The 10,440-nt window shown below is 43.7% G+C and overlaps 1 protein-coding gene across 2 annotated transcripts; it reads left to right on the top strand.

The window, feature by feature from the left end:
• On the top strand, nucleotides 1,686-9,596 carry NLRP10 (NLR family pyrin domain containing 10). 2 transcript variants are annotated; one of them, NM_001391958.1, is made up of 3 exons: nucleotides 1,686-1,887; nucleotides 3,593-3,926; nucleotides 5,811-9,596. In NM_001391958.1, the coding sequence occupies exons 2-3, from the start codon at nucleotides 3,638-3,640 to the stop codon at nucleotides 7,487-7,489; spliced, it is 1,968 nt and encodes a 655-aa protein (NP_001378887.1). In that variant the 5' UTR covers nucleotides 1,686-1,887; nucleotides 3,593-3,637; the 3' UTR covers nucleotides 7,490-9,596. The 2 variants fall into 2 exon arrangements, with proteins under 2 accessions (NP_001378887.1, NP_789791.1); NM_176821.4 differs by lacking the exon at nucleotides 1,686-1,887 and having other exon boundaries at nucleotides 3,459-3,926.

The following is a 10,440-nucleotide window of genomic DNA, read 5'->3' as shown; positions in this document are numbered from 1 at the left end:
TCCCAATCCCCATTCTCCATTCCCCCCTCTGGTGCTTGCCTTTCTCTTCTGCATTTCTAACCTGACCTCTCTATGGGAGGCTTTGTATCAGCATCCAGGTACATTCCTCCCTTTCCCATGTTAAAGCAAACAAAACCTTCTCTGGACTTCACATCTCCCATATTACCTCAGGACCTTTCTCATCACTTTTGTTACCAAGCTTCCAGAGAGATTTGTCTATACATGTTAACTCCATTTCTTTACCTCTTACTGTTTCTTTGCTAAGTTAATTTTTATCTTTTCAAAGTAATACATGGTTATGATTTCTAAAGTCAATAGGCATTAAAAAACTTATGCCCTGGAACAGTAGTCCTTTCCTCTCCTGATGCCCAGTCTCTTTTCGCTAAAACAACTATTAATACATTAGATTTTAACTATTTCTTCTTACATCTCTGCATTTTGAAGTAATATGTGTACTGTATATCACTATCTTTTGATTCAACATTTTAGGCATTGTCTATCAACTTCCTCTTCTAGTACATTCCACCACCATCCTTTCAATGTAATTATATTTTAAATTTTAGAGCAATGTTCAGTGGTTACACTATGATTTCTATGCAAACATTATTCACACTTGAGTATATTAGTTTACTATTATATTTCCAATTTTATTTTTTGTTTCTCCTCTTGCTAGTAATTTCTTTATTTTACTTTCATTTATCTGGTTTTCTTGGAAGTTACTGCTAGCTTTTTCCACCTTCTAATAGCCTCCCAATAGGCTGTTTTAGAAGGCCAATAGCATCAGCTAGTCTAGCAAGTCTTTTTTCTTTTTTCTTGGAGACATTCTTTTTGGAGAAACCTGTTCTCTTTCTGTCAGGGCTCTTGGGGATCCTCAGCTCTCTAGGCCAGAGGACTGGCTGCCTTCTGGGAATTTGTTTTTCTCCTTTTTCTTTTTTGTTTTTTTGAGACAAAGTCTTACTTTGTTGCCCAGGTTGGAGTGCAGTGGCACAATCTCAGCTCGCTGCAACCTCCGCCTCCTGGGTTCAAGCAATTTTCCTGCCTCAGCCTCCCTAGTAGCTGAGATTACAGGCATGCACCATGATTCCCGGCTAATTTGCGTATTTTTAGTAGAGACAGGGTTTCACCATGTTGATCAGGCTGGTCTCAAACTCCTGACATCAAATGATCCACGCACCTCAGCCTCCCAAAGTGCTGGGATTACAGGCGTGAACCACCATGCCTGGCCTGTTTTTCTCCTTGTTTGAATTCCTACTTCATGGAGCTCCTATCTTCTTCCTTTTTCATTCTCCAGTGATTTCAACAACTTAGAGAAATGGTGCACTGGCGGAGGATATGGTGGTGGCAGTGCTTCAATTCTTTCGTCTCTCTAGTCAAACTGCCCCAGCCTAGGCTGGGGTTAAGTGGTAGAGGAGGAGTGTGGGTTCCAGGGAGGGATGTGGGAAGTCTCCTGGGCTCTTTTTCTCTTGGTGACAGAATAGTTCATGCCTTCCACCCCTCCCTTGTTTCTCAACTTCAACATTTGAAAAAATGAGGTCAAGTTTCCCACTGGTGAGCAATTGCCCATCCCATTGACAGTCATCCCACTGACATTCAGTGGGTGGTTCTGCTTCACAGAGGCTTGGGGCAGATGGGGAGGGGCCCTTCTGTTCCAGGCCTATATACTAGGAACTGTTAGGTATCAAGCTGTAGCTGGTAGGTACCAGCACCACCAAACAGAAGTGAACTAGTGAGTATGGGCTAAGAGAGCCCAAACTTGGACCTGTAGAGCTGTCGGACCAGGAAAGGGGATCTGTTTCGTCTCAGTCCCCAGGCTTTGCTTACTGGGCTCCTGGATCAGGGAGCTGAGTTCTCGCTGCCTCACCTCCAGCTCCCCAAGTCTGAACTGTGGTAAGCAGCCTAGACTGGACATCTTCTTGGCAGGTTCTAGTGTTGTCTTTTCTTTCCTGAATTATTAAATAGCTCTGCCAACATCAGAAATTTGCAGGGAAGCCCTGAGTCTTCCCATGCAGCCTGAAGCTTTGTTGTAAATTGATCCTGCTTTCACAGGCCTGCTTTTCCAAACTGGCCTATGACTCACAACCAAAGTCCCCTGTATCCTAACATGTTCCAAACATTTTCTTTCTCTGTCAGTATGTAGTCAAAATGTTGGTATTTGAATGGCAACAACTCTCTGTGTTCCCAAATTCTCTTTTGAACACTCTCAATGATGAATGTGACATTGTACTACTGAGATGGGTTCCCTATGGGCCTTAGGTCACAGGTGTATTTCTGGATTCTGAAGGCTTTCTATTAATTGTTGCTTTTCTTTTCCAAAGACTGCCACCTGGCCTACATTTTGGTTCTACATTAGAAACACAATTCAAAACTCTGCTCTCCTTTCCCGTTACTTTAGTATTTATACATGTCTCCAGCTTCTGGCAACATTTAGCCTAACTTTCTGGTTCCTGACTCTGTCTTCTATTTCTTTATCTTTTGAGTTTTTTCTGTCTCTCTCTTCCACCCAGGGCATAGACCAGTTTAAATCCTGCCTCTTTGCCCGGTGGCCTAGCTCTGGAAAACTCTGAAAAACCATTTTTCTCTGACTGCCAAATTTCTCATGTGGAACAGTTCCTGAGACGATTTCTGAGATGATCAAAAAGGATATGTAAATCACCTGGCACAAAGTCAGCACTCACAGGTGGCGGTTCCTCTTCCTATCATTATCTGGATTTGTTTCCTTATTTGAATTAGGAGACTTCTAGCTTTGCAATCCCTGTGTGACTGAGGCCAGGAGGCTGACATGTGAGGCCAATGGGTTGAGTGTAGATTTTTTTTACCTTCTTGCCATACCACAGCAGTTCCAGCAAATGTGCTCCAGCTTTCTATAGGTTCACACAGCCAGGGACAGTCTCACTTTTAAAACTTAAAACTTGGCCGGGCACAGTAGCTCATGCCTGTAATCCCAGCACTTTGGGAAGCCAAGGCGGGCAGATCACCTGAGGTCAGGAGATCGAGTCTAGCCGGGCCCGTATGGTGAAACCCCATCTCTACTAAAAATACAAAAGTGAGCTGGGCATGGTGGTGGGCACCTGCAATTCCAGCTACTTGGGAGGCTGAGGCAGGAGAATTGCTTGAACGTGGGATGTGGAGGTTGAGGTGAGCCGAGATCATGCCACTGCTCCCCAGCCTGGGCAACAGAGGTAGACTCTGTCTCCAAAAAAAATAAAATAAAAAACTTAGACTTTTTTTTCTTAATCCATCCGTCTAAGGAGGCATACAGAGCCTAATAAAGAACGTGTTGAGAGGGAAAGAGGAAGGGAGTGGGGGGAGAGAGAGAGACAGAGATAGAGTTTGGGGGAGAGAGAGAGAGATTGAGAGATTAACACACCTACATACCTTCCTACCCATTTGCCAACACAGTCACGTGTCACCTGACTAAGAGGCAGAGGGGAATGACTAGGAAAATTCCCCTGCGTTTCATCTGCTTGTCTTTCTTGGAGCTTTGCACATGTATCTCGTCTCTCCCTGGCCTCCGCTCTATAACTTGGCCAAGCCCCCAGAAAGCAGGGTGGGCCTCTCAGCAGTGGACCTCTCCTTTTGCCTCTTTCTCCAGGTCACTGGTCTTCTGGTCTGGACTTGATCCTTCCCCCAGATCACCATGGCCATGGCCAAGGCCAGAAAGCCCCGGGAGGCATTGCTCTGGGCCTTGAGTGACCTTGAGGAGAACGATTTCAAGAAGTTAAAGTTCTACTTACGGGATATGACCCTGTCTGAGGGCCAGCCCCCACTGGCCAGAGGGGAGTTGGAGGGCCTGATTCCGGTGGACCTGGCAGAATTACTGATTTCAAAGTATGGAGAAAAGGAGGCTGTGAAAGTTGTCCTCAAGGGCTTGAAGGTCATGAACCTGTTGGAACTTGTGGACCAGCTCAGCCATATTTGTCTGCATGGTGAGTGTGGAGCGGGGGAAGGGGAGGGCAGGATGGCACTGGGACTCCCCTCCCACCATGGCATTTCCAGAGCTGCCTGTAGCCTGTACCTTATGCCTTCTGTCACCTTGTCCTCTAGTCCCTGGTGCCCCAGAGTCCTTGGTGGTCTCCACCTGAGGGTTCCAACAACTGTCAGGAGGGGGACTGAGCCAAAGCTGGGATTTATTTAAGAAAAGACTAGCCTTTCTTCCCCACATCTTACCTCCAGCTGCAGTGGCAGAGAAGGGGAGAGTCTGAAGAAAGGGTCTTAGAGACTGGGAGGGTGTTGGTGAAGGGATTTCCACTAACCAGAAGAAATAGCATCAGGATGTAGGGGTCAGACCTGTCCCTAGCTGCTTCCTGGCAAGCTGCTCAGGCGCTTCTAAGTCTTCTGTGGCCCTGATCTCTCAAGGAACCACACTACAGAATGGGTGGTGTGGGACCTCATGGCCTGCTGGTTCTTCCTGTGGGTGCCTGGGGGGAGGGAGGGATCTTTTGGTGCCTTTGCTCCCTCCCATAGGCTCCTTTCATGCTTGAAAGCTCCTCTGCTACGTACAAATGGGAGGGTTTCATGGACCCAGAGTCATGGCTCTTTCTGAGAAGCTGTTTTATCTTTAGCATTTGGCTTGTCCTTTCCCAAGAACAGGCTTATCGGCTGGGCGCAGTGGCTCACGCCTGTAATCCCAGCACTTTGGGAGGCTGAGACAGGCGGATCACGAGGTCAGGAGATCGAGACCATCCTGGCTAACACGGTGAAACCCCGTCTCTACTAAAAATACAAAAAAATTAGCCGGGCATGGTGGCGTGCGCCTGTGGTCCCAGCTACACGGGAGGCTGAGGCAGGAGAATGGCGTGAACCCGGGAGGCGGAGCTTGCAGTGAGTCGAGATCGCGCCACTGCACTCCAGCCTGGGCGACAGAGCGAAACTCCATCTCAAAAAAAAAAAAAAAAAAAAAAGAACAGGCTTATCTTAGTCCCTTTGGTATTGCTATAAAGCAATACCTGAGACTGGGTAATTTATAAAGAAAAGAGGTTTATTTGGCTCATGGTTTGGCAGGTGGTACAAGAGGCATATTGTCAACATTGACTTCTGGCGAGGCCTCAGGCAGCTTTCAGTTATGGAAGAAGGCAAGGTCAGAGCTGGTGTGTCACATGGCAAGAGAGGGAGGAAGAGAGAGGGGAGGAGGTGCCAGGCTCTTTAAACAACCAGCTCTTGTGTAGCTAATAGAGCAAGAACTCGTTCATTACCGTGGGGAGGGCCCCAAGACATTCATGAGGGATTTGCCCCCATGACAAAAACAACTCCCACTAGGCCCTGCCTCCAACATTGGGGATCACATTTCAACCTGAAATTTGGAGGGGATAAACACCCAAACTATATCAAGGCTCCTATCACTTCACCATCCTCAGGCATCCCTTTCCTTTCCCCTCTCTCTGTCCTCACCTCTTCACATGGAGACATTTCACATGAACACTCAGACATTCATGCATTCTCACACAGGCATTTTGCACTTACATGTATTCTTACAGACACACACTTGCTGATGCACACTGACATGACTTCCCTCCACAACAGTACATGAAGGTCCACGAGCACATGTGGATACCAGCATTCATGCACAACTATCCACACACACAGAGCACACCCTTGCACACTCATACAGATGTGCATATGCATACTGCGCCTGCACACACACACTCATGCACACATACAGTGGCCCCTCCCCATGAAGCCAGAACTATAATCTCAGCAAGATCCAAGTTGGAGACATACAAGAAGACTAATGAGCAGAGTCAGTTTGGAGGGGCCATTTTGCCTTCTAAAATTCCCATTTCACTACCTAACATCCCATTTGTTTGGCTCAGATTACAGAGAAGTATACCGAGAGCATGTGCGCTGCCTAGAGGAATGGCAGGAAGCAGGAGTCAATGGCAGATACAACCAGGTGCTCCTGGTGGCCAAGCCCAGCTCAGAGAGCCCAGAATCACTTGCCTGCCCCTTCCCGGAGCAGGAGCTGGAGTCTGTCACGGTGGAGGCTCTATTTGATTCAGGGGAAAAGCCCTCACTGGCCCCATCCTTAGTTGTGCTACAGGGGTCGGCTGGCACTGGAAAGACAACTCTCGCCAGAAAAATGGTGTTGGACTGGGCCACCGGTACTCTGTACCCAGGCCGGTTTGATTATGTCTTTTATGTAAGCTGCAAAGAAGTGGTCCTGCTGCTGGAGAGCAAACTGGAGCAGCTCCTTTTCTGGTGCTGCGGGGACAATCAAGCCCCTGTCACAGAGATTCTGAGGCAGCCAGAGCGGCTCCTGTTCATCCTGGATGGCTTTGATGAGCTGCAGAGGCCCTTTGAAGAAAAGTTGAAGAAGAGGGGTTTGAGTCCCAAGGAGAGCCTGCTGCACCTTCTAATTAGGAGACATACACTCCCCACGTGCTCCCTTCTCATCACCACCCGGCCCCTGGCTTTGAGGAATCTGGAGCCCTTGCTGAAACAAGCACGTCATGTCCATATCCTAGGCTTCTCTGAGGAGGAGAGGGCGAGGTACTTCAGCTCCTATTTCACGGATGAGAAGCAAGCTGACCGTGCCTTCGACATTGTACAGAAAAATGACATTCTCTACAAAGCGTGTCAGGTTCCAGGCATTTGCTGGGTGGTCTGCTCCTGGCTGCAGGGGCAGATGGAGAGAGGCAAAGTTGTCTTAGAGACACCTAGAAACAGCACTGACATCTTCATGGCTTACGTCTCCACCTTTCTGCCGCCCGATGATGATGGGGGCTGCTCCGAGCTTTCCCGGCACAGGGTCCTGAGGAGTCTGTGCTCCCTAGCAGCTGAAGGGATTCAGCACCAGAGGTTCCTATTTGAAGAAGCTGAGCTCAGGAAACATAATTTAGATGGCCCCAGGCTTGCCGCTTTCCTGAGTAGTAACGACTACCAATTGGGACTTGCCATCAAGAAGTTCTACAGCTTCCGCCACATCAGCTTCCAGGACTTTTTTCATGCCATGTCTTACCTGGTGAAAGAGGACCAAAGCCGGCTGGGGAAGGAGTCCCGCAGAGAAGTGCAAAGGCTGCTGGAGGTAAAGGAGCAGGAAGGGAATGATGAGATGACCCTCACTATGCAGTTTTTACTGGACATCTCGAAAAAAGACAGCTTCTCGAACTTGGAGCTCAAGTTCTGCTTCAGAATTTCTCCCTGTTTAGCGCAGGATCTGAAGCATTTTAAAGAACAGATGGAATCTATGAAGCACAACAGGACCTGGGATTTGGAATTCTCCCTGTATGAAGCTAAAATAAAGAATCTGGTAAAAGGTATTCAGATGAACAATGTATCATTCAAGATAAAACATTCAAATGAAAAGAAATCACAGAGCCAGAATTTATTTTCTGTCAAAAGCAGCTTGAGTCATGGACCTAAGGAGGAGCAAAAATGTCCTTCTGTCCATGGACAGAAGGAGGGCAAAGATAATATAGCAGGAACACAAAAGGAAGCTTCTACTGGAAAAGGCAGAGGGACAGAGGAAACACCAAAAAATACTTACATATAAACCTAATTAAATATGTACAAGATCTCTATGAGGAAAATGACAACACTCTGAGGAAAGAAATCAAAGAAGCTGTAAATGAATGGGAAGATTTTCCATGTTCATGAATAGAAAGACTCAATATTGTTAAGATGTTAGTTTTCCCCAGTTTGATCTGTAGATTCAATGCAATCCCAATCAAGATCCCAGCAAATAACTTTGTGGACATTGATAAGATGATTCTAATGTTTATGTGCAAAGGCAAAAGACTCAGAATAGCCAATAAAATATTGAAGAAGAACAAAGTTGGAGGAGTGCTGCTATCCAACTTCTTCCTACTATAAAGCTACAGTAATCAAGACAGTATGGTATTGTTAAAATAATAGAGAAATCAGTGGAGTAGAATAGAGAACCAGAAACAAACCTACACAAAAATGGTCAATTGATCTTAGACAAAGGAGCAAAAGCAATTTAATGGAGAAAGTTTACTCTTTTCAACAAATGGTGCTGAAATAACTGGACATCCACATGTAAAAAAATGAATCTAGATGTAAAATACAAAAGTACTAATATAAACTGCTAGAAGATAATATAGGAGAAAATCTAGGTGACCTTGGGTTTGGCGATGACTTTTTAGATATAACAGCAAAAGCATGAATCATTAAAAAAAGAATTAGTTGGCTTCATGAAAATTAAAAACTTATGCTCTGTGAAAGACACTGTTAAGAGAATGAAAAGATAAGCCAAAGACTGGGAGAAAATATTTGCAAACACATATCTGATAAAAGACTTGGGTAAAAAAAAATACAAATAGCTCTTAAAACTCAATAATAAGTAAAGAGTCTACTTAAAAAGTGAGTAGGAGGCCCAGGCTGGTGGATCACGAGGTCAAGAGACCGAGACCATCCTGGCCAATGTGGTGAAACCCCGTCTTTACTAAAAATACGAAAGTTAGCCGGGCGTGGTGGTGCACACCTGTAGTCCCAGCTACTCAGGAGGCTGAGGCAGGAGAATTGCTTGAATCTGGGAGGCGGAGGTTGCAGTGAGCTGAGATCGCACCACTGCACTCCAGCCTGGCAACAGAGTGAGACTCTGCCTCAAAAAAAAAAAGGTGAGTAAAAAGATTGGAACAGACAGCTTATTAAAGAAGATACACAGATGGCAAATAAATATTTGAAAAGACGCTCAACTTCATATGTCATTAGGGAATTGCAAACTAAAACCACAATAAGATACCATGACACCCCTGTTAGAATGGCTAACATCCCAAATCCTGGCAACACTAAATGCTTGTTAGGATGTGGAGTAGTGGGAGCCTTATTCATTGCTGGTCAGAATGCAAAATGGTACAGCCACTTTGAAAGACAGTTTGGCAGTTTCTTACAAAGCTAAACATAGTTTTACTATATGTAAGATCTAGCAATTATGCTCCTAGATATTAACCCAAGTGAGTTGGAAACTTATGTCCACATAAAAACCTGCACATGAATATTTATAGCAGCTTTATTCGTAATTGCCCAAATTTGGAAGCAACCAAGATGTCCTTCAATAGGTGATGGATAAGCAAACTGTGATACATCCACATAATGTAATAGTATTCAGTGATAAAAATAAATGAGCAATTAAGACATGAAAAGATATGGAGAAGCCTTAAATGCAACTACTAAGTGAAAGAAGTCAGTCTGAAAAGGCTACATACTGTGTAATTCCAAATATATGCTCTTATGAAAAATGAAAAACTATGGAGACAATTAAAAATCAGTGGTTGTCAGGGGTTCAAGGAGAGTCAGGGAGAGATAACCAGGTGGAGGCACAGGCACTTTAGGATAGTAAAACTATTCTGTGTGATATTATAATGATGGAGTCATGACATAAATTTTTCAAAACGCATAGAGCTGTACAATACAAAGAGTGAATCCTAATGTAAACTGTGCCTTGTAGTTAATAATAGTGTATCAAAATTGGTTCATCAATGATCACAAATGTGTCACACTAATGCAAGATGTTAATAAGAGAAACTTTGTGAGGGGGTGGTGGTGGTGGAGAGGGTATATAGGAACTTTCTGTATTTAAAAAAAGTTTTATTGAAGTATAATTAGTTTAATACAATAAACTGTGCATATTTAATATATAAAATTTGATGAATTTGTACATACACATACATCTGTGAAACCATCACTACAATCAAGGTAGAAGACATAACAATCCCCCCAAAAATGTTCCCGTGTCCTTTTATCTTTTTGTGTGTGTTAAAAACACAACACAAAATTTACCCTCTTATAAATTTTTAAGCACATAATACAGTATTGTTGACTATATGTGGGAATTCTGTACTTTCCACTCAATTTTTCTTTAAACCTAAAATTGCTCTTGAAAAACTAAGAAAATCTGAATTAAGTATGGACTTTAGTTAATAAAAATATGGTTAACTTTACTGATATATAGGATATTAAAAATATTCTGGGTTTTAGGTCATTTATCAGTTAATATGTGTTACACATATCTCTTCTTATTTTTTTGGCTTGTTTTTTCAGTCTCTTGATGCCTTTTGATAAATGAGTTCTTAATTTACTCATTTTTTCTTTTATGATTAATAACTTTATTTTCTGTTTAAGACATTTTCTATCCTGAGAATATAAAATAATCTCCTATATAAACTTCCAGAAAGTTTATTGCTTTACTTAACATATTTAGTCTGGTAAACCACTAGGAATTAATTTTGATGTATGATGTGAGATAGATAAAGTTTTATTTTTTCCCAGTAGTGATAATCAGGTGGTCTAATACTATTTATTCAAGAGATCAACCTTTCTCCACAATTCTGCAGTATCACCTTCATCATAAATCAAGTGTACATAAGTCTCTTCTGATCTCTCTATTCTTTTCCATTGATCTATTTGTAGATTCTCATGGCAAATACCATGCAGTTTTTATTATGGTAGCTTTGTAATAAGTCTTGCCACCTGGTAGTGGAA

Source organism: Homo sapiens, chromosome 11, assembly GCF_000001405.40.
Source record: "Homo sapiens chromosome 11, GRCh38.p14 Primary Assembly".
NCBI classification, from domain to species: domain Eukaryota; kingdom Metazoa; phylum Chordata; class Mammalia; order Primates; family Hominidae; genus Homo; species Homo sapiens.
Note: the sequence above shows the minus strand (reverse complement) of the source record. Positions and strands in the feature narration are given on the sequence as shown.

Coding starts and splice junctions, on each gene's coding strand:
- NLRP10 (NM_001391958.1), top strand. CDS start 3,638: ATGGCCATGGCCAAGGCCAGAAAGCCCCGGGAGGCATTGCTCTGGGCC. Junction 3,927..5,810: donor CAGCCATATTTGTCTGCATG/GTGAGTGTGGAG, acceptor TGTTTGGCTCAG/ATTACAGAGAAGTATACCGA.